This window comes from Homo sapiens, chromosome 6 (assembly GCF_000001405.40).
Source record: "Homo sapiens chromosome 6, GRCh38.p14 Primary Assembly".
NCBI lineage: Eukaryota > Metazoa > Chordata > Mammalia > Primates > Hominidae > Homo > Homo sapiens.
The window spans coordinates 16,767,010-16,791,210 of NC_000006.12; the positions used below are offsets into that span (position 1 = coordinate 16,767,010).

At 41.8% G+C, this 24,201-nt stretch overlaps 1 long non-coding RNA gene across 1 annotated transcript, besides 1 other annotated feature; it reads left to right on the plus strand.

Annotated features, from left to right (window-relative positions):
• Positions 1-134: 134 nt before the first annotated feature.
• On the plus strand, positions 135-7,979 carry LOC124901268 (uncharacterized). The gene is made up of 2 exons (XR_007059480.1): positions 135-6,485; positions 7,588-7,979. It is a non-coding gene; the product is annotated as an uncharacterized LOC124901268 (long non-coding RNA).
• Positions 2,109-2,403: an enhancer, noted in NCBI's record as "tiled region #6173; K562 Activating DNase unmatched - State 8:EnhW". NCBI's record gives its function as "activates a minimal TATA promoter and a strong SV40 promoter by Sharpr-MPRA in K562 cells {active_cell/tissue: K562}" and the evidence as "EXISTENCE:reporter gene assay evidence [ECO:0000049][PMID:27701403]".
• Positions 7,980-24,201: the final 16,222 nt, after the last annotated feature.

Consider the following 24,201-nt stretch of genomic DNA (forward strand, 5'->3'; position numbering starts at 1 on the left):
CCTACCTCAGCCCCTGAGTAGCTGGGACCACAGGCATGCGCCACTACACCCAGCTAATTTTTGTGTCTTTTGCAGAGACGGAGTTTCACCATGTTACCCAGGCTGCTATTGAACTCCTGGGCCTTGGCCTCCCTAAGTGCTGGGATTATAGATGTGAACCACCACGCCCAGCCTCTTTTTACTTTTCTTAATGTGGCTACTATAAAGTTTCATATCACATGTGTGGAAGGGTTATATATTTCATTTCTAATGAACAACACTGATACAGATATTGGGGCTGAGGAGGCACAGGAATTGGTTCTAAGAACCCAGTTTAAGATCTTAGACTCCCAGCATGGCTCCCTGCAGTGGTGTGGTAAATAACTTATTTTTCTGCCTTCCCCATGTTCCCCCCTTACACTGTGTAACACAGAACTTATCCTACTCTGTTATAATGATCACTGAGAGTAGACTGTCGGTGAATGCGTGATCTCACTGGTAGATCTGTTACAGGCCTGCAAAACAAAAATTTGTTAGGCTTATCTGTGACTCAGTCTTCTCAAGCTCTGGTACCTTGTCACCCTGGGAGGCTGATGGAAAACCTATGCTCTGTTTTCGAAAGCACAAGCACAAGCATCCTAGAGTTACAGCTGGTTTTGCTGCTTGTGGCTAAATGGTTTGGGGCCGATACTTTCTAGTGACAGATGGCTTTGGACATTGATAATGAAAATTATATAATTTGTTGCTTAACTAAAAAACATCAAGGCCATCAAAAGGAAATCTGTTTAAAAAAAAACTTTCTAATATATTTAGTACCATAGGATACTCTGAAAAGAAATGATTATTTTTAACCATCATTGTTTATTTTGCAAGCAAGACCTAGATAAATTTTCATCAATGCAGCTCTGACCAAGATTGAATATAAGGCAAGTATCATAATTTATGGTCTTAGTCATCTAAAGAACATAGCTCTTCTTACATGGAAAGAAAACAGACAACATTTTGAGGCTTAGAATGAATGAGTTGAACTTTGTTTGGTATTGGCCAGGAGCATTTGGAAATTTATTAAAAGCATTTCATTAACAACTTGGCATTTTGTTTCCTCAAAAGAAATACATTTTCCAAATTTAAATCAAAGCCAGAACCACCATTTTTTGAACTGAAGGTAGTGGCAGCTGATGGTTTGTGCCTGTTAAGCTGAGGGTGCCTTCGGAATAAGATCATGGGCAACAACAGGCTGCAAAAATAAACATCAAATTTTTATGGAAGGAGTGAAGCAGTGTTCTTTGTTGTTCTAACTTGATGACATTAAAATATGTGGCTATAAGCTCTCTTAGTTACTTTATTTTTCTTGAGTCAATATTGGCCAGGAGAAGCTGATCTGAATGAGGGTCAGAGGTTAAGAAAATTATTTTATGAGGAATTTACCAAGTTTACCCCCGAAGAGGGAGAGTTAGAGAAAAATGCATTGGCAAACTTTGCTTTTTGACATAAATAACTAGAATTCACCAAGGGAACGGCCTGTGTCAGGGTTTCAGTGAGGGTTGTCAGGCAGTTTGATATTTGCAGAACCCCTCTCTGTCAGGCCTCTCCAAAGTTTAACTGCTAGGAGATCTGGGAAGCTCTCAAGACTGGCGACTGAAGATACTGATTTGCTTTGTGTCTGAGACACAGGCATAAAACGATGGCTACTGCCACAGATGCTTTCTGACAGAGCAGAATAATAGCACTCAGACTTAAACTGTACATTACAAACAATCCCTTTTTAAGTACAAAATGAATGCACAGAATGGAAGACCCTGTCAGCTAGAATACAAGTAAATCAAGTAGAAGAAGACAAATTATTCACTCATACCACTACAGCCAAATTTTTATTCTGCTAACTGCACTGTCATGAGAGAGCTTTTCTTCTTTGTCAGATGTTAATATTTATGCCTAGTGTTCCATTATCGGAACGCTAAGCATGTGGGAGTTATTTATATCCTACTGCTCGAGGTCATCGCCAAGGTCTGATTGCAAAAATTCAAAAAATTGCAACCATAAATGGGTTAAGAAAATCGATACATCATAGTTATTACAAATATATGAGGCACTGGATGCATTTCCTCTGAGAGCCAATCAAATTACAGGATATGTTTCCTAACTCCCCACACCTATTCCAGTTTAAAAGTTGTAGCTTGAGTACCAGGAGTAAGAACACGTGAACCCTTCACTCCCAGGGCTAGCTTTTCCTGCTGTCAATTTCATAATTATATTGCTCCGCCCCTTGGCTTAGCACTTCCTTTCCCCTCACTACCTTCTCACCCCAACCCCCAGCAATGAATCATCAGGCCTTTAAAGAGACTTAGACGACCCAGTGTGAACTTCGCTGGCATCCTGTACATTCTTATGCCAAAAAAGGGGAGTTGCTCTAAGACAGAAACTAGCCAGACCCTGATGCAGATCTTGGAGGCAACAAGCTTGGGTGCTTATCTGGGAAGATCAGCGAGGAGTTAATTTTCCTAGATCGCAATGGTGATTCAGAATTGCATATCTTAGTTCATGATTGGGTTTTTAAGAACCCAGTTCGACCCTTTGTACAGAAAGGAATATATCAAAGGGAAAAATGTTGGCAGATCTCCTTATGCAATCAGGGCAAAGGAATTTATACCACATTCAACTCTTTGATTTCTCCAGATCTGGCTGAGGGTGGGGTTTCCATATTTGTGCTTTGGCAAATGTGTCCAATAATTAACTCCTCCTGATATATGCCCCTAGTGTTCTTCCAGGTTATCATGTGCTTATTTGTGCATTTATTAAAACCAGAAACATTTTTGCCCCTTCATTGTTTAAATACTGTGTCTGAGTAATACAGGTTAAATAGACAACAAGAGCCTTGCCTTTTAAAGACTTTACTCCCCACCTAAAGAGGTGAAGGAGATATCATTTAAATAACATTATGCGTGTGCATATACCTTCTATATGGAAAGCCCTTTCTTCTCCTCCCTCCTTTTTTTTTTTTTTTTTTTGCATGGAGATTTTATCCTCATGCTTTTGAGATCCGGCTCAAGCATCAACACTTCTGTGAAGTCTTTCTTGATTATCACAGGAGTCTGCGGCTCTGCCCAATGTGTGAGTCAGAGAAGTGCTATTTTCTTATTCTTTTTATTTATACAATATTTTTTTAAACCTCTAACCGAAAAAAACAGGGCCATAAGCACAGATGGAGAGAGTATCCTAAGTGGGAGCTCTCTTACTTGAATACTTCCTGCTACTCCCAAACCCATTTGACCTCCCTTACAGTTTCAGCGTGCAACTGCGCTTCCTTTGTTTATGCTCCAATTATGTGACTCCCCTCCACTGATCAGTTTTTCATGTAACTTTCCACTGCCCTCTGTTATGAGTTGAATTGTGACCCCAAAAGATACATCGAAGTCCTAACCCCAGTAACTATGAGTGTAGCCTTATTTGGGAGTAGCATTTTTGCAGATGTAATTAGTTAGGATGAGGTTTTACTGTTTTAGGGTGGACCCTAAATCCAATGCAACTGTTGTCCTCATAAGAAGAGAAGACACAGAAACAGAGGAGACACAGGGTAGATGACCATGTGAAGACAAGGCAGAGACTGGAGATATGCTGCCACAAGCCAGGGAATGCCAGGGATTGCTAGCAACCACCAGAAGCTAGAAGAGGCAAGGAAGCCTCCTCTCCTAGAGCATTTAGAGAAAGGATGGCCCTGTTGACACCTTGATTTCAGACTTCTAACTTCCAGAACTGGGAGGGAATAGATACCTGTTGTTTTAAGCCACCCAGTTTGTGGTACTTTGTTATAGCCATCCTAGGAGACGAATGCACCCTCCTTATGAGATCCATGATTCCAGGTCTGTTGGATTCTCCTTTCTTCTCTTTATTTACGTATATGGCCCTACCTCTTCCTGCTGCAGATACTCCTAGGTAATCTGTTCTGGATGTACTTTTGGTCTTGCACCTATGACAATACCAATAAACAAAGAAAAGGTCTAATGGAATAGAAAACTTACAGAGTTCTAGAACCGCCTCCTCGTCATCCCAGAAAAACATCTGGCTTCTGGCTCCAGGCCTCAGAGAGCACAAGTACATTACACTCCTGCACGGGGCGTCAGCTGGTGTCGGCGTCCTCCTCGGCCCTCCTCAGCTCCCTCTGCTGGGCGCCCGATGCACCAGCAGCTTCCCTCTTCAGAAGTAGTCTTCCAGCATGTGGGTGGGGTTGGGGTGAAGAAGAGACCGCAAAAACTAAATTAATTTGATATTGAGGAAATACAATGCTAATTGTTTGGCTTTCTTTTACTGTCTATTTGAGTGTTATCAAAGTGCTTATGAAGACCTTGGTCTTTCTGATTCTCCTTTTTCAAAAAACCAAAAAAAACCGAGAAGCTCATTTGTTTCAGGAAGTTTCCCTGAGCGAGTGGAAGGGGAGGCCTCACACTGAAGCCAGAATACAAAGGAAGTCCTCTTGAGATGGATAAAGCAGTTCTTACATGCAAATCTCAGAAAATGGCAACTCCATCTTTCCACCTGTTCAAGCCCAGAACCGCTGGCAGTGTCTTGACTCTCTCGTCAGACCCCACATCCAATTTGCCAAAAATCCAGTTAAATCTACCTTCAAAACATATCCAGAATCTGACCATTTTTCAGCCCTGGGACTGCTACCACTGGAGTTAAACCACCACCGTCCTTCGTCAGGGTTACTGCGACAGCCTCCTAAATTGGCCCTTACTTCTCCAGTTACCGGCCCACACCAGTCTACTGCCTGCATTAGGTTGATGCCACAGCTCTGCTCAGAGACCAAGGGCTCCCCCAAGGTCAAGTAAAAGCCCTTCATGGCCTACAAGGCTGGCCTCGATCAGGTCCTCAACTTTTCTGATCTCATCTATCCCTGTCCTTGCTCCCACACTGCCAGCCTCACTGTCCTCTTTGCTGGTCCTCAAATAAGCCAGCTGCTCTCTTGCCTCAGGGCCTTTGTATTAGCTGTTCCCTCGGCTTGGAATGCTTTTCCCTCTTGTGTTCGCATGGCCCACTCCTTCATCTTCTTCAGGTTATTTTTTCTAAGAATCAACCTCCTAGTGAGGCCTGCTGTGAACACCCTACTAAAAATTCTACTCCCTCACTTTCCCGATCCACCTTGCCCTGCTCATTTATCCCATAAATGTGTTGCTTTATAACATTCTATGTCATCTACTTTGTTTGTTTGTTTATTGTCAGGAGGGCAGAGATTTTTTTTTTTTTTTGTCTGGCTCATTCATCTAGAATAGTTCTTGGCACATGATAGACACCCACTAAATAGGCATTGACTATTAAATGAATTAATCAGTAATGTTTTCCAGAACCTACTATGTGCAAAGTTCTGTCAGCCCCCAACACAATGATTATCTCATTAGGAGCTAATCCAAAACTAATCCATCTGGTCCACACTATGGTATAATATATGTTCTCTTTACTTGACCTTTGCCTTAGTGTCTGACATGACTATTAAAGCTGAGTTGGAATGAACTGAGTCTCACACTCAGGCTTTGCAGATGTCATTTCATTTCATCCCCATGATGATACTGTGAGATAGAGATCATGATTCTCACTTATTAGGTGATTAAACTGAGGCTTGGAGTTTAAAGGACCTGCCCAAAGTTCAGGGTCACCCAGCACTGGTTTCAAAGTGAAGTTATCCACCTATGCAGCTTGAGAATTGTTAACAAGTCATTACCTGAATGAAATAGGACAGTTACAGTCATAACACTGCATTGCAATGTTTTGGCTAAGGGACCATTTTTAATCCAATCTCTAGTTTTTGGATTATACATGAATTGTGAATAACACCTGTATCCCAGAAATTAAAGCTAGTGATGCTCATTGAGAACTGAGTATTTCTCCATAAGCGAATTGGCTTCAGATCAACCTAAGTGGTTTCCCAACTAACAGAACTCTATTCCAGCTTATAATTTTTACTCATGCTGCTACATGGGCTGGAAATGATTCTCACTTGAGGTTCATGCTTGAATCCCTAGAACCCTTTCCTATTAAAGTCCTGTCTAAAGTATCCCATTACAGTAAGGACGAAGGAGATCGTAAAGGGCCAACATGAATTCTCAAGGCTAATTTAATGACTTAATTTCCTTCAGTTACTCTGGGCTGAACTTCTCCTGTTCTACCCGCAAGCTTCCCAGAGTCCTCTGTGACCAGAATCGAAGCATAGTGTCTGAAAGTAGCCTGGCCACACAAGATGTGCAAAACACTGTAACCTCTTCACAGCCTCACTCCACTTTGTATTTGAGGGAAATGATTCTAGAAGCTGAAATAGACCAGAGTTCAACAGTCTGGGAAATTTGAAGAAGAAAAAAGGAAGAGAAAAAAAAAAAAAAAAAAAACCAAGCCCTGCATTTGCAGAGATGTGAAGAGAACCCAGCTCTCTGAAGTTGGAAGGAAGTGAGAAGACCCTATTTGTGGCTGCAGGAGAGGAAAAGAAAAGAGACCCGCAAGGAAACTACCAACAGATGGTAAATACATTTTTAATTCTTCTGTCATACTGTGTGGACTTGTGCACATTTGTCCTGCTGTGTTAGGCTCCCGAAATAGCTAGCCATGGAATTGCAGAACAGTTCTGCTGCAATTTGAGATTTAGGAAACCATGCTAGCTGACAAAACAGGAAGGGCTCATAGTAGGATGGAGTGGATTTGCTCCCAGTTTGCAGCTCCTCAATGTGGCATCTGCTGTCATTCTTAGTGCAGGAAAATTCTCTCACATGTCAGGTCTCATTGGTGATGTTTTGCAACATACTATCTCAAATTGCCCCCCGAGCCCTAGTTATAATTATTAAATGTTGACACTATGCATATAACTCCCAAAGATTAAAGAGAGTGAGGTCCATTGATTTATGAATCCTGAGTCCTCCAGGGAACATCACAAACACACATGGCAGCCCAGATCTCTTCACCTAGTCTTCCTCATACTTTTGGTATGAGGTTGCTCTACAAGAACCTAAAGAGGTAGGACACAAAAGCACATTCAGTTGACTCCACATCTGAGAAGTGACCAGTGATTGGTACCAGGAATGAGTTAGGTTCCCAACCCCAACACCATCTCTCAGTGCATCTGCAAAAAAAAACCACAAGTGTCAATTAATCTAACTGGATGCAGGATAATGAGGAGAGGGTGGCCTATTAATTATAGTGTGAAAATATAGCTATATAATGCCATTTTATTAGAACTGGAAAGATCCTTACAGAATCTAGTTCAATTATTTTTTTTTCATTTTATAGACAGGAATCTGGGCCAAAGAGTTGCAGGAAATTGGCAAAGATCATACAACTAGTCTGTGGCAAATTCAGTACTGGAACCTAAGACATCTCCCTCCCAGTCCTGTGTTTGTTCTCCTCTAGTCCTCATAGAAGGTGGACACTGCTGTGATGAGCAAAATCCAATTCTAGAAGATTTTGATCATGGCAGCCCGCACACTTGGGTTCTTATAAAGTGAGATGATGGCATTTCTGTCTGGTCTGTAGATGTTTGGGAAACTGGTTGATATTCTTTACAAGTAAGATTTCAAGCTAAAATAGATTTGTTAATTTCTGTCCTAACCCCCTGTGGATTGTTTCTAGATTATATAGCTACCACACTATTTGGCACAGCTGGGATCCTCTTTTCATGAAATAGCAGGGAAGATTGGTAGATAAGGATTAAAAAGCACTGGCAGAGGAGACAGGGAGACTTACACAATTACTTCCTACCCAGTGCCTTCCTGGTCTAGGAACTTCTTCCAGCCTCTTTTGGAGAGAGAGGTAAGTGGGAGGAAAGGGGATTTTTATCTTTTTAGTAAAAGAAAGGATAACAAAAACACTTTAGCACTGCTCAATTTGATGAAATCTTGATTTCACATAGTTTAAGTTTCTACCAGACTAAATATATTCTTGTTCAAAATAACATATATATTCATAGATAACTTTTCCAGTGGATACATATGTAGTTCATTAATAAAAACTCTTCTCAATCAGCTATTTTAAAAAGTGTTCTTTCCTGTTTTCTAGAAAGTTAATCGGTAAGCTCCTCAATAGCTGGTTTGGCAGTAAGGTCTTAAATTTTGCAATTTTAGTCAGCATTTTGCTTTGTTGTTTTGCACATAATTTCAGCAACATTTTATGCTATTTTTTTTGTTGTTGTTCTTTTTGAGACAGTGTCTCACTCTGTCCCCCAGGCTGGAGTGCAGGGGCATGAGCATGGCTCACTACAGCCTCAACCTCCTGGACTCAAGCAAACTTCCTGCCTCAGCCTCTCAAGTAGCTGGGACTACAGGCGTGCACCATCACACCCCGCTAATTTTTTTTCTTTTTTGCAGAGATGGGGGTCTCACTATTGTTGCCCAGGTAGGTCTCAAACTCCTGGGCTCAAGCAGTCCCCCTGCCTTGGCTTCCCTAAGTGTTGGGATTACAGGCCTGAACCATTACACCTCGCCTTATCCTATTTTTGTGGCGGTAAAAAATTATACTTGTTAGATATACACATGGAATTCTTTGTTTTGAGAATTAATTTGATCATTTTGAATATTCTTAGGAATTCACTGTCTACTTGATCATGGTGGATAAGCTTTTTGATGTGCTGCTGGATTTGGTTTGCCAGTATTTTATTGAGGATTTTTGCATCAAAATGTGGCACATATACACCATGGGATACTATGCAGCCATAAAAACTGATGAGTTCATGTCCTTCGTAGGGACATGGATGAAGCTGGAAACCATCATTCTCAGCAAACTATCGCAAGAACAAAAAACCAAACACCCCATGTTCTCACTCATAGGTGGGAATTGAACAATGAGAACACATGGACACAGGAAGGGGAACATCACACACCGGGGCCTGTTGTGGGGTAGGGGGAGCGGGGAGGGATAGCATTAGGAGATATACCTAATGTTAAATGATGAGGTAATGGGTGCAGCACACCAACATGGCACATGTATACATATGTAACAAACCTGCACATGTACCCTAAAACTTAAAGTATAATACAAAAAATTTTTAAAAAGAAATTCACTGTCTATCTCCATGATCTAGTAATGGAATGGGGGTGGAGGAGGGTAAGAATTATCTTAAGTGAATTATTTTCAGTAGAGCAGTAATGAAGGCACACTTTAGGTTATTTCATTCCTATGATCCAAATTTGATTATCTAGCTAAGATCACTGGGGGCATTTGAAGCTTTAATAATTACAGCTCAAGGCCTCAGGAAAAAAAAATTACGTTTACTACACATTCACACAGCTTTTCAGAGAGTTGCCAAATGAGGGCTGATTTAAAAAATAGATTGATATCAAGATTCCATTTTGAGAGTTCAAACTCTGTTGACATAAAAACAAACGCTAGATTTAAACAATTGTTTTGTGTAGAACAGTTAAACATTGTTTATTTGAAAGAGTAAAAAACATAAGCTATTGATTTTACCTTTCCTTTTGGAAGACAGCTTTAGGATTTTTCCCCTAGAAAGTTTTGAGGCCAGGATTTTTACTACAAGTGCCGTGTTCCCTGACGTGCCAGCACAGCTTTGAAGCTGTCTCAGCTTCTAGGTCAAAGGCTCCCTCCCTGTGGCCAGATGCCAGTCTTATCCTTAGACTCCCATGAGCTTCAGAAATAAATCAACTTTTCAGTAAAATCCACTGACAGCTCTGCTTTACATAAAAGCATGCGGCCTGAGGATGTAATGCAGTTTTGCATTTTAGGTGGATAAGAAAAGAAAGAAAGCATCCCATATCACTGAGAGACCATTTCAAATGGAGTTGCCATTATGAAAGCCAAGGGGTGGCTTGGAGGTATTGCACCCACTCTTCCTGCAGCCTGTCCAACCCCAGCACATAGTACTCACACAGCAGAAAACCACTGTAGTACAAATGGCTCTACAGTGTTCTCATCCTTGTATAGCACTGGTTAGTAACATCCATGAATTGAAGAAGTGTTGAGCAGGTCAGCACCCTGAGGCCAAAATTTCCTCCTTGTGGTGAGAAAAGAAACAAATGAAAAAATTCCTCTCCGTACAACAATGCAAAGTAATCTCACAATGTTGGAAAATACAAAAGAGGCAAGACATAAAAGAAGGCTTGCTATACTGTTCCATTTGTACAAAATTTAAAAATATGAAAAACTAATCAATCATGTTACACTAATTATACTTGTTTACCTTTGATGAAGAGAGAGGATTAGGATTAGAATGGGACATGATGATGGCTTCTAGGGTGCTAGAAAGTTCTATCTTAACCTGGGTGGTGGTCACAGAGGTGTGTTCACTTTGTGACAATGCATTTAGAATAATGCTATTCTAAAACATTAGAATAGGGCTGGGCGCGGTGGCTCATGCCTATAATCCCAGTACTTTGGGAGGCTGAGACGGACAGATCACTCGAGATCAGGAGTTTGAGACCAGCCTGGCCAACATGGTGAAACCCTGTCTCTATTAAAAATACAAAAATTAGCGGGGCATGGTGGCGGGTGCCTGTCATCCAGCTTCTTGGGAGGCTGAGGCAGGAGAATCGCTTGAACCTGGGAAGTGGAGGTTGCGGTGAGCAGAGATTGCACCACTGTACTCCAGCCTGGGTGACAGAGCAAGACTTTCTCAAAAAAATATACAGCACTTTTGCATAACTAAACTAATAGATATTGAGAAAAACCGAAAATTAAGACAAGTTCAGGAAAAAAAAATGACACCAAACCCCATGGTAGGGCAGTGGAAACTCTCATGCCTGGATCCAGGGAATGCTCATTGCAATTATTCTTCTTGGTTAACTGTTTGGCATTATCTACTGAAGTTGAAGACACGCATATTCAGTGATCTGGATTTCCACCCCTGGGTAATATCCAAGAGAAATATGTACACATGAGAACCAGAAGAACAGCAACTCTATTCATAACAACCCTAAACTGAAAACAAGTCAAAATATCAACAGTAGAGAAGATAAATAAAATGTCATATATCCAAACTTGGAATACTATACAGCACTGAAAACAAATGAACCACAGTACTCTCACAACATGGATGCAACTTAAAAATTAAATGGGCCAGACATGGTGGCTCATGCCTGTAATCCCTGCACTTTAGGAAACTGAGGCAGGAGGATCTCCTGAGGTCAGGAGTTCGAGGCCAGCCTGGCCAACATGTTGAAACCCCATCTCTGCCAAAAATACAAAAATTAGCCGAGCGTGGTGGTGGGTGCCCGTAATCCCAGCTACTCTGGAGGCTGAGGCAGGAGAATCACTTGAACCTGGGAGGCGGAAGTTGCAGTGAATCGAGATCGCGCCTTTGAACTCCAGCCTGGATGACAAGAGCAAAACTCTATCTCAAAAAAAGAACAAAAAACAAAAAATGGTGAGAGGCAAAAAATCATATGCTTCCATATACGTACTTAAAGTTCAAAGAGTAGAAAAAATATATAGTATTCAGCCCTATACACTTAGGTGTTGAAACAATAAAAGCAAGGTCTTGCTCTGTCGCCCAGGCTGGAGTGCAATGGTGTGATCACGGCTCACTGCAGCCTCAACTTCCTATGCTCAAGTGATCCTCCTGCCTCTACCTCCCAAGTAGCTGGGACTATATAGGCGCATGCCACCATGTCCAGCTAATTTTTAAATTTTTCGTAGAAGCAGAGGTCTTGCTATGTTGCTCAGGCTGGTCTCCAACTCCTGGGCTCAAGCAATTCTCCTGCTTTGACCTCCCAAAGTGTTGCGATTACAGGCATGCGCCATCATGCCCAGCTCTGTTCTATTTCTTGACTTGAGTCATGGTTATGTGAATGTTTACTTTATAAAATGGTATTGAGTTGTACTTTTCTATATCATGCACTTTCCCGAATGTATGTTATATTTCACAGTAAAAAGGGTGTTAAAAATCACATGAAACCCAATTATTTGGAGATAGTTATAAATTGAACACCTTGATGTATATATACTCCCAGAACTTCTTTAATGCAATATAATCTGGCCATATTGCTTTGTAGCCTTTAATTTTTTTTTAATTAATGATATGCCCTCTCAAAAGAATTCCTCTTTAGATTTTCTCCATTTCCACTTAATTTTAACTAAAAGTAAATATCATACAAGCTTTATGCCCCTCTGGAAGCCTAAAGCCATAGAGTGGCTTTCAGGAAATTAGGTTGCTTTAGCCTAAGCTACATTGATTCATAAACCAATCTACAGGATTTTGCCATAGCTCATGGGAGACTTTTCCTTCTCTGTTAATAATGTTGCTGCTTCAAAAGAGGAAAGCCTCTTTCCATCTCTTCAGAGTGCCAGCTCTGCAACAGAACAGGCCAGGAAATGAGGGGGAAAGGCCAGCGCAGAGGAGGGGACAGGGAGCTTGAGGCAGGGAAGGAGATCATCTTAGAACTGATTGCAATGTCTGCCATGCTGAGCTCATGCCTAGCCTGTCCCAGGCAATGACAGGAAGCAGATTTTCGAAGTGATCTAGGGATTCAAAATAAAAAAAAGTAGTTTCATTGCTTTTTCTTGCCCCTGGGATGGAACCAGTGTGCTTCCCTCTGCCTAGAACCCCCTCCCCTTTCCCTTGTCCAATCTCCAACCATCCTCCCTGTTCTTCACTGTGTCATCATCGTAGCCATTCACAGTCAAAGAACCCATCAATGAGCATCCAAACCTGAAGGGGACCACACGAGAGCCCCATGGCACCCTGTATTTACCCCGCCACAGCATTCATCAGCCTATGCCGAAGTTACTATTTTCTTGTCTACGAATACTCCACTAATCTGTAAACTCCATGAACACAAGGTCAGTCTGTTTCACTGTAGTAATTCCAAGCACCAGGATATATTGGCCCTTGATAATATATTCCTTGGATGCATGAAAATCAGGGTGATGCGTGAAGTGAGATGGGACCTGGGGTGGGGGAAGGATTTATTTTGTATTTATTTATTTATTTGTTTGTTTGTTTTAGAGACAGGATCTAGCTCTCTTGCTCAAGCTGGAGTGCAGTGGTATGATCAAAACTCACTACAGCCTGCAACTAGTGATCCTCCTGCCTCAGCTATAGCTAAAACTATAGGTGCACACCACCATACCTGGCTAATTTTCTTTCTTTCTTTCTTTCTTTTTTCTGACAGAGTCTTTCTCTATCACCTAGGCTGGAGTGCAGTGGCGCGATTTTGGCTCACTGCAACCTCCACCTCGCCTGTTCAAGCAGTTCTCTTGCCTCAGCCTCCCAAGTAGCTGGGATGACAGGCGTGAGCCACCACACCTGGCTAATTGTTTTGTATTTTTAGTAGAGACGGGGTTTCACCATGTTGGCCAGGCTGGTTTCGAACTCCTGACCTCAAGTGATCCGCCTGCCTCAGCCTCCCAAAGTGCTGGGATTGTAGGCATGAGCCACTGCGCCCGGCCACCTGGCCAAGTTTTTAAAGTGGGCCTTGCTCTGTTGCCCAGGCTGGTCTCAAACTCCTGGCCTCAAGCAGTCCTCCTGCCTTGGCACCCCAAAGTGCTGGGATTACAGGCATGAGCCACTGCACCTAGCCAGGGAGGGATTTAAATTATGCTTCCCCAGTCCCTTCATCTGTAGAGCACAAATGGCTTCAGGTTGTCCAATCTGAAGAAATATGCTAACACAGGATGGCACAACATTTTAAAATCTACAACTGTTCAGTTTCAAATACCTACTGGTAATAGCACTTTGCATTTGTATAGTGTTTGATATTAAACAGTTTCATGAATTATACAATTTCAACAACAAAGCCTCTGAGGTAAACTGGGATGATGTTAATATTACCATTTTGCAGATTAGAAAATTGTCTGAAAAAGGGTAAGTACCTAGGCCCACATCACATGATCAGTTTTTAGTACAAGCCAGGGACTAGTGACCCCTTAGGTGCTGAAAGGGAAACAAATAGAGTGTGTACTGCATACGGATATATTTTCAGGGACAAGGGACGTTAAATAAATAATGTGACACCTTTCTGACTTTTTGATCTTCAGTAGATATTTCTTCCCTGTTGGAGTATATCCAGAGAGAAAGGTAAGAAGTCACATGTTCATCACATTCTTTATGCAACAGTAGTTAAAAGACATGAATCTGGACTAACTGCATCTATCAAACATAAAAAGATTTCACCATGTGCTGACAATGGGGAAAATAGTTTTGGTTTTTGTTGTCTGGCCCCCTCTCTTCTCTGAACATAAGCTCTTTTTCTTGTGGTGATCTTGGCAGAAGAAATGCAGTAGGACAGAGGGGTTGGAGGAGGAGAAAGAAAAGGAAAGTAGAAGAAGATGGTCAGACATTGACAATGCGGACAGGAGAAAGGGGTGGAGAGCAATGGGGTGGGGCCAAGGGAAGGACCCACAGCAAGCTTTGATTCTCTGGGTTGTGCCACTCAAGAAAACCAGCTGCAGCAGCATCACCTGGGATCTGGTGAGAAATTCAGAATCTCAGTCCCCAACTCAGACCTACTCAATCAGATTCTGCATTTTAACAAGATCCCCAACTACTTCCTATGCACATTACAGCTTGAGAAGCCCTTAGTTGCTCCCAACCAGTCTGAGCCAGTCCTGATCAGTGTCATCAGCCTTAGACCTATTAATAGATGAAACTGGTTTGGTTGCCTAGAGACCTGGAAATCTGGTTGCTCCGTTCAGACTCCAAGTCTCAATGTTCTCTTACCACTTTGGCCAAAGCCCTGTGACTCCCAATCTGCCTCGGTTTCTCTGCTGAGTGTTTCAGTTCTCGCAGAGGTTGGATCCTTGTACTGAATCCCAGCCACCTACGCCTGGGTCCTGATTCTCTGCCAGACTCTGGCTCCCCACCTTCCTTTGGGAAGCAGGATGTGATTTCCTACTCTGGTGGCATCTTCTGGCTTGGAGCCCACTGTGACTAGACTGACCACCTGGAACCGTGCTGGATTTTGAGTATTGTCACCTGGATTTCTTCCAGAACTGTGCTCTGCTGGCAGATAAGACTGACTCTGATATCCGCACAGCCTGGGCCTCTGAGCTAGTCACACCCTTTGACAGCCGCACACAGCCTCCCTGGCTGTCCTTTGGGGATTGGCTAGCTTCTGTCCCGCTGGGTCTTGGCTGCTTCCCCCTTCCCACTGGCCCATGTTGATGTGGTCCTAGCCTGTTCTGTACCTAAATGTCTCCTACAAAACAGGAGGAGGCCACAGTCCCTTCTCTCTATTAACATCCATGACTCCATGGGCCTGTTTCTGTGTGGGCCTTGAAATTCCAAAGACTACTCTTGTAGCTCTTTAGGTAAAAGATATTCTAAAAGTCCTAGATGACTTGGTGTAAACAGGCTCAATGGTTTTGCATAGCTTGTCTTTTTGGCCCTTTTTCCAAGGTGGAGAAAAACTTCTTTGTTCCCTGACTTACTTTATAAACACAAGGCCAATCTATACAGAAGCTCAATAATTTCTCTGGTTATCACACAACCACTTTACTTTGACTGCTGGTGTTGTACCTCCTGCCATGCTCGATTTATGGTGGTACATTATACGAAGTATATCACATCTGCTACTGTGTTTTAAGCCAGCATGAAATGGCATGAAGTTCAAAACAATCAGGTTGGCTGTCAGTGATGGAGGCCGATTTTTAAACGAACATTACTCTCCATTAATGAACAATAGGGCATGATTTCTTTAAAATGGTTGCATCATTTTTATTCCTGAAAACTATTCTCATGGTGATTACAAATAAAGGGGTGAGGGGAGAAGAAGAAAGAAAACAGAAAGAAAGGAAGTGTGGCAGCACCCGCAGTAGCTAAGTAATGGTGTGGGAGTTGTTTCCATTATTTACATACATAACGCTTTTCACAAGAATCCAAATGTCTTACAAAAGAAAATACAACACACATTGCAACAAGACTCAGCAACACAGTAAGGTATAAAGAAAACAATTACTCAAAGGAAAATTTCAATCTAGCATAAATCATTTGCCTAAAAAGAATGGATAAGTATCCATTAACTGAATTTCCCCATACAAAGGTATGCACAGGGTGGTGTTTGCCAAGTAATATGCAAAATAGAGGTAAAAGATAGTAATAAAAGTATATCTAATATCATTTGAATGAGAAATACACATTATTTAAGGAAGTCACTTCAACTTCTAAAGTTGCATGACAATCTCATTGAATTAGCAGATATGGAGATATATATATAGAGATACACAGATATATACACACACAAACACACACACACACATACACATTTTCCAAAAGGCACTCTTGGCTGAGCAAAGTCAAAGGTTCTAGGAAGATAGGAAATATAAATTTTCGTTAGTCATTCATGGCTCAGTTTCATTGCGCTTTTCTTAAGGACCAAATTTACTCAGAATGGACTTTAATTGATAAATCATGAAGAAACTGTATTAGAAGTTTGAGTAAAAACACCAATTTTGAGGGATATCATGAAAGTACTCCTTTAGTTGCTTTCAGTTTTATGTCTGCTTTTATGGCATAATTTGAACAAGCTTCCTTCCATTTATCCAACCATTCAAACTTTGGGAAAAAGGGAAGCCCAATACGGGGGAAATGCTCTCAGGAAAAATTGCAAAAATGTTGCAGAAGCTTAAAACCTGATAATTATATAGAACATCACATCACTACTAGTGCTATTACAACATTAGTGTGTGTAGTTACAGTCAAACCACTCACGATTACGATGTCATTTGTCTTCTTTGTGTCTCTTTTGTTTTCACAAGTCACGTGGTAAAATCAACAAATACTACATCATCCCTCTGAGGATTCAGCTGTGGAAAAAGCATCCACTTGCTCATCTTTAGGGTAGCTATTATTAGCTTGCTTTGATTTTCTCATACGATACATACTCATGCTTATTAAGCTGTTTGTATGCTTCCTTTGTCATATTTTTCCATGGATATGCTATTGCTATGCAGTGCACTCTGGTGAAACCCAGAGTTACCCATTTCCACAGGCCTTTCTAAAATTAATATAATCCATCTATCTTTTAAAACATTATTTTTAAAAAGACATGCAACATCACATTTGCAATGAGAGTGAACATTTCTAAAGAAAATATTACCATATCTGTACTAGACTGAATAGCATGCACCCACATTCCTTTGCCAAAAATTCTTGCCCACCTAGAATTTGTGAATATGACCCTATTTGGAAATAAGCTCTTTGCAGATGTAATCAAGTTAAAATGATGTCATACCAAATTAAGGTGAGTCCTAAATCCAGTAGCTGATGTCCTTACAAGAAGGCCATGTGGAGACACAGATACACATAGGGAGAAGACGGGCACATAAAGACAGAGGCATTTTTTTCTTGGCCATCTGAGGAGCAAGGAGAAGACAGCCATCTGCGAACTAGGAAAAGGGCCCTCACCAGACACCAGATCTGCCAGCACTTTGATCTTGGACTTCCCAGCCTCCAGAAACTGTGAGAAGTAAATATTCACTGTTCAAGGCACCCAGTCTATGGATTCTGTTATAGCATCCCTGCCTGGCAAAGACAGCTTGGAATAGATTCTACCTCACAGCCTTCAAAGGGAGTGTGGCCCTGCCAAAACCTTGATTTTTGACTTCCAGCCTCCAGAGCTTGAGAGAATAAATTTCTGTGTCCTAAGCCACCCTATCTGTGATGTTGTGCTATGGCAGCCCTAGGAAACCAATACAACTCTCAATCTCCATATTGTGAAATAAGTAAGTCAATTATACAAAGACTTAATACTAGCTTTTCTGTAAATGATGAAAGTAGGGAAGGCAAAGGCTACTCGTCACAATGAGGAGGTAAGTGTGTACCAAAGGTATGATTAGAAATTGGTCAACATCATTAGTCATTAGAGAAATGCGAATCAAAACTGCAATGAGATACCATCTCACACCAGTCAGAATGGCTGTTGTTAACAAGTCAGAAAATAACGGATGCTGACAAGATTGCAGAGAAAAGGGAATACTTACACACTGTTGGTGGGAGTGTAAATTAATTCAACCATTGTGGAAAGCAGTATGGCAATTCCTCAAAGAGCTAAAAGCAGAACTACCATTTGACCCAGCGATTCCATTACTGGGTATATTCCCAGAGGAATAGAAATCATTCTACCATAAAGACACATGCACACAAATGTTTATTGCAGCACTGTTCACAATAGTAAAGATATGGAGTCAACCTAAATGCCCATCAATGACAGATTGGACAAAGAAAATGTGGTACATATACACCATGGAATACTACGCAGCCATAAAAAAGAACAAGATCATGTCTTTTGCGGGAACATGGATGGAACTGGAGGTTATCATCCTTAGCAAACTAATGCAGGAACAGAAAACCAAATACAGCATATTCTCACTTATAAGTGGGAGCTAAATGATTAAAACTAATGAACACAAAGAAGGAAACAACAGACTCTGGGACCTACTTGAGGGTGGAGGGTGGGAGAAGGGAGAGGAGCAGAAAAGATAACTATTGAGCACTGGGCTCAATACCTGGGGGATGAAATAATCTATACAGCAAACCCCCAAGGCACGTGTTTACCTATGTAACAAACCTTCACATGTACCCCCAAACCTAAAATAAAAGTTAAAAAATAATAAAATAAAACAGTGCTTGGCCCATTAAAAAAAATAAATTGGTCATTCTAGCATCACAAAGCAGGTAAAACTACAAAAGAATGAAAGTTTCAGGTAAAGCACAAAGGCACAGAGATCACATTTTAAAGTGAGGTATGAGAATCTGACTCTGCAAAATTTGCCAAGGAGGTTGTCAAAAACTGATTACATGGCTTTATGTTACATGGTGGATTTATTTGTAAATAAAAAGTACATTAATAAATGGGAACTAGAGATTAGAGGAGATGATTGTTCTGGACAGAAGTAGTCTGTGTGCTGGGTATTTTCCCCCACTCACCTTCCTTAGTCTAGTAGGGGCAAAGAGAGGGAGAGTGATTCCCTTGGATCAGACATGGACCACCTGAATATGGTGAACAGAACTCAACAGGGAGAAGCTAGAGGTGGTACCAGATTCCTGGAGGCTGAGGAAAGAGTAAATGATCAGCCACGTTCACATGTATTCATCCCTCCGTCGGAAAAAGCAGGTGACTCTACACTGAAATTCTAATTTTAATGAAAAAAATGCAAATGAAAGAGGTTCTACCCTGAGGTGTCTCCAAAGAACTCATACAACACCAACAAGAGAGACAACTTGAATACCTGTCAAAGTAAGAGAACTCTGATGCTATAGACGAGTACCAGGCAGGTAAGAACTGTCCTACTTCCCTTTCCTCATCTTCCTCCTGGTACTCCAACTCTGGAGAAGTGTGAGAGCACATTTAGAAAGATGAAGAAGGACAGGTGCGGTGGCTTATGCCTGTAACCTCAGCACTTTGGGAGGCCAAGGTGGGAAGATGGCTTCAGGCCAGGAGTTTGAGACCTGCCTGGGCTACATAGCAAGCCCTTGTCTCTAAAAAAATTTAAAAATTAGTTGGGCATAGTGGTGCATGCCTTTAGTCATAGCTACTTGGGTGGCTGAGGCAGGAGAAACCGCTTGAATCCGGGAAGTGGAAGTAGCAGTGAGCCGAGATCTCACCACTGCGCTCCAGCTTGGGCAACAGAGCAAGACCTTGTCTCACAAAAAAAAAAGAAAAGAAAAGAAAAGAAAAAGATAAACACAGTGAGCTGTGGAGAGACTTAGAAAAGGCACCTGATCCATCTGTAAAAGCTCATGGAGGGCTTGTTAAGGGAGATGACAGCAAAGTTGAGTCCTGAAAGTGAGGAAAATTTAGGAAGTATGTGTTCAGCAAACCCTAAGTACTGTTCTATGGAAGCATCACTGAGTGCAAGGGGGAGGGAAAAGAGATTGAGCTACAGACAAGCAGGAGCCCAAACATGAAGGGATTTCCATGCTATATTAAGGCATGTAGACTTAATCCAGTCAGTCAGAATATATATTATTCAATTGACTTAAAGTCAATGAGAAACTACTGAAGCATCTTTTACAAGGGAATGATAAGGCCTAGTATCTTAGGTGTATCAGTCTAGTTGCAGTATGGAAAATGGCTTTGAGAGGTATAATATAGGCAAGAAGCCCAGTAGGGAAAGTATTAAAGTAATCCAGGTAAGAAAAAATGGAAGAAGAGATGGAAAAGGCAGAATAATTTTACAGCAATGCATTATAGATTGAATTGTTTCCCCACCCCCAAATTCATATGTTGAAGGCCTAAGCCCCAGTGTATTTGGAATGGGGCCTTTGGAGATAATTAGATTTTAATGAGGTCGTGAGTGTTAGACATTCATGATGGAATTAGTGCCCTCTTAAGAAGAGACACCAGAGTGCTCTCTTTCTCTTTCTCATTCTGTTTCCCCTCCTGCCATGTGAGAACACAGCAAGAAGGTGGCCCTCTACAAGCCAGGAAGAGAGCCCTCCCCAGGAAGTAAATTGGCTTGCACCTTCCTCTTGGACTCCCAGCCACCACAATGATGAGAAAATAAATGTCTGTTGTTTAAGCCACCCAGTCTGTGGTATTTTGTTGTGGCAGCCCAAGCTGATTGAGACACAATGGAAGTGGAATGAAAGATATGATAATTTATTCAATACAGGAAATAGATGAGTGAGGAGTCAAGGGTTGGATGAGTGTTGAGGTTTAGTGTGCAAAAAGAAAAGTAGACCTAAAATAAGGAACACTGTTAAAGAAGGGGGACCTGATAGAGACCAAAGAAAGCAGCCAGAGAGGTTTAGGGAAAGCAGAAAAGGCTAGTGGGTGGGAATGTTTTCAAAAAGAAGATAATGTTCAATTTGTGCAAATTCTATACAGATGTCAAGTGAGATCAAGTTGAAAGGTATCTGCTGGCTTTGGTGATAAATGTCTCTGGAGATCCTGGCAAGAATAGTTTAAATGTTGTGAGGGCAGAAAGGAAACTGCAGTTGTTAAAAAGGGAACGAGATGTCATGAAGTACAGACAGCAAGTATAGAAGGCACATTTGAGAATCCTGGCTGTAAAGTAAGGAAAAGGTGGAGAGGTGATGAGAAGGGAGGCAAGTGGGATTTTTTGTGGGGAGCTATGATGGGAGACAAGATTTTTGGGAGGAATGGTGTTGAAGAAGAATTAGAAGAGAGACAATTGAGAAGTCAGGTTCCTAAGTGTACAGGCTGTGATGGGCTACATAGCTCAGGTGCACTGACTGCCTTTAGAAGGAGGGGCTTCATCCTTCATCATGAGAGGAAAGTAAGGATGCTGTATTGGTCTATTCTCATGTTTTTATAAAGAAACCCCTCAAACTGGGTAATTTATAAAGAAAAGAGTTTTAATTGGCTCACAGTTCCACAGGCTGTACAGGAAGCATGAATGCTGGTATCTTCTCAGCTTCTGGGGAGGCCTCAGGAAACTTACAATCATGGTAGAAGGCAAAGGGGGAGCAGCACTTCACATGGACAGAGAAGGAGCAAAAGAGAGACAGTAAGGATGTGCCACACATTTTTAAACAACCAGATCTTGTGAGAATTCACTCATTATCATGAGAACAGCACTGAAGGGATGGTGCTAAACCATTCATGAGAAAAATCCCAATGATCCAATCACTTCCCACCAGGCCCCACTTTCCATATTGGGGATTAAAATTAAACATGAGATTTGGGTGGGGACACAGATCAAAACCATATCATTCCATCCTGGCCCCTCCCAAATCTCATGATCTTCTCATATTGCAAAATACAATCATGACTTCCCAATAGTCCTCCAAAGTCTTAACTCATTCCAGCATTAACTCAAAAGTCCAAGTTGAAAGTCTGATCTGAGACAAGGGAAGTCTCTTCCACAGATGAGCCTGTAAAATTAAAACTAAGTTATTTACTTCCAAAATACAATGGGGGTAAATATTTGGTAAATATTCTCATTCCAAAAGAGAGAAATTGATCCAAAAAAGTGGCTACAGGCCTGATGCAAGTCCAAAACCCAGCAGGACAGTCATTAAATCTTAAAGCTCCAAAAAAATCTTATTTGAGTTTATGTCCTCACACATGGTGTGAGGGGTGGGCTTCCAAGGCCTTGGGCAGGTCCACCTCTGTGGCTTTGTAGAATTCAGCCTCTGGGGCTGAATCATTGAGTGCCTGTGACTTTTCCAGGTGAAGGGTGCAAGCTGTGAATGGTAGATCTACCATTCTGGGGTCTAGAATGGTGGTTCTCTTCTCACTGCTCCACTAAGCAGTGCCCCAGTGAGAACTCTGTGTGGGGGCTCCAACCTTGCATTTCCCCTCCATGCTGTCCTAGTAGAGGTTCTCCATGAGGGCTCTGCTCCCACAGCAGGCTTCTGCCTGGAAATCCAGGCTTTTCCATACATCCTCTGAATCTTAGGTGGAAGCTCTCAAGCCTCAACTCTTGCATTCTGTGCACTGGAAGGCCTAACACCATGTAGAAGCCACCAAGTCTTACAGCTTGTACTCTCTGAAGCAGCAACCTAAACTGTACCTGGGACCCTTTGAGCCAAGGCTGAAGCTGGAGTGGCTGGGATGCAGGGACCAGTGTCCTAAGGCTGTGCAGGGAATCAGGGCCCTGGGCTTGGCCCATGAAACCATTCTTCCCTCCTAGGCCTCAGGGCCTGTGATGGGAGGGGCTGCCACAAAGGTCTCTGAAATCCCTTCAAGGCCTTTTCCCCATTGTTTTGGTTATTAGCACATGGCTCCTTTTTACTTATGCAAATTTCTGCAGCCTGCTTGAATTCCTCCCCTGAAAACGGGCTTTTCTTTTCTACCACATGGGAAGTTGCAAATTTTTCCAAACTTTCACTTTCTGCTTCCCTTTTAAATATAAGTTCCAACTTTATGTCATTTCTTTGCTCACACACATAAGTAGGTTGTTAGAAGTGGCCAGGTCACATGTTGAAGGCTTTGCTGCTTTAGAATTTCTTTCTGCCAGATACGCTAACTCATCACTCTCAAGTTCAAAGATCCACAGATCCCTAGGGCAGGGACACAATTCAGCCAAGTTCTTTGCTAAGTCCTAACAAAAGTGACCAGTTGCCAATAAATTCCTCATTTCCATTTGAGACCTCATCAGCCTGGCCTTCACTGTCCATATCACTATCAGCATTTTGGTCACAACCATTCAACCAGTCTCTAGGAAGTTCCAAATTTTCCCTCATCTTCCTGTCTTCTTCTGAGCCCTCCACACTCTTCCAACCTCTGTCTGTTAGCCAATTCCAAAGCTGCTTTCACATTTTCAGGTATCTTTATAGCAATGCCTCACTCCTCAGTATTAATTTTCTATATGAGCCCATTCTTGCATTGCTACAAAGAAATACCCAAGACTTGGTAATTTATAAAGAAAAGAGGTTTAATTGGCTCATGGATCTGCAGGATGTACAGAAAGCATGATGCCGGCATCTGCTTGGCTGCTGGGAAGGCCTCAGGAAACTTACAATCATGGCAGAAGACAAAGGGGGAGCAGCACTTCACATGGCCAGGGAAGGAGCAAGGCAGGGAGGGAGGTGCCACCCACTTTAAACAACCAGATCTCATAGGAACTCACTCACCATCATGAATATAGCACCAAGAGGGCAGAGCTAAACCATTCATGAGAAACCACACCTATGACCCAATCACCTCCCACCAGGCCCCACTTCCAATGTTGGGGATTACAATTGAACATGAGATTTGGGTGAGGACACATATTCAAAGCATATCAGATTGGTGCAGATGTATGTAGGTGTGGAGATAATTCTACCCAATGGATTCCATTTTCTCCATGAGATAGCAGGCAAGAGTGAGGTAGGTAGGGAGATGTTAGAATAGGGGATGGAAGGAGGTGGCTTGAGTAACTGCTATGAGGTGTGGGAGAGAGAGAGAGCTGACCATAAACACAGTAGAAATGGCCATCAGTGTGGAAGCAAGTTGAATTTGTACCCCAAGGAATTTCAATGCTTCGATTCCCTTGTCTGTACAATTTTCTCTTTCCTACTCAAGTGAATATGAAAAGAAGGCAGATAATTAGATTGTTACAAAGTTTGAATTTTGCTATGATTGAGAAAGAAGAACAAGGTGAAAAAAGTTGAAGACTGTGGCAAAGAGAGTTGTCCAAATGAAAGTCCATGAGGTCTAATTAGATAGGGATGGAAGTGAATATGGGCAAAGGCTCACAGATAATAAAGCAGTAAAGTCAAGACACTGGACATCTTCATAAGGCAGAAAAACAAGTATATTGAGTATAAAACAGGCAGAGAGCTAGAAGCAAAAAGATGAATAATTGAGTGATGTTTGAATTTAAGATTTTTAAGGTACTACAGTT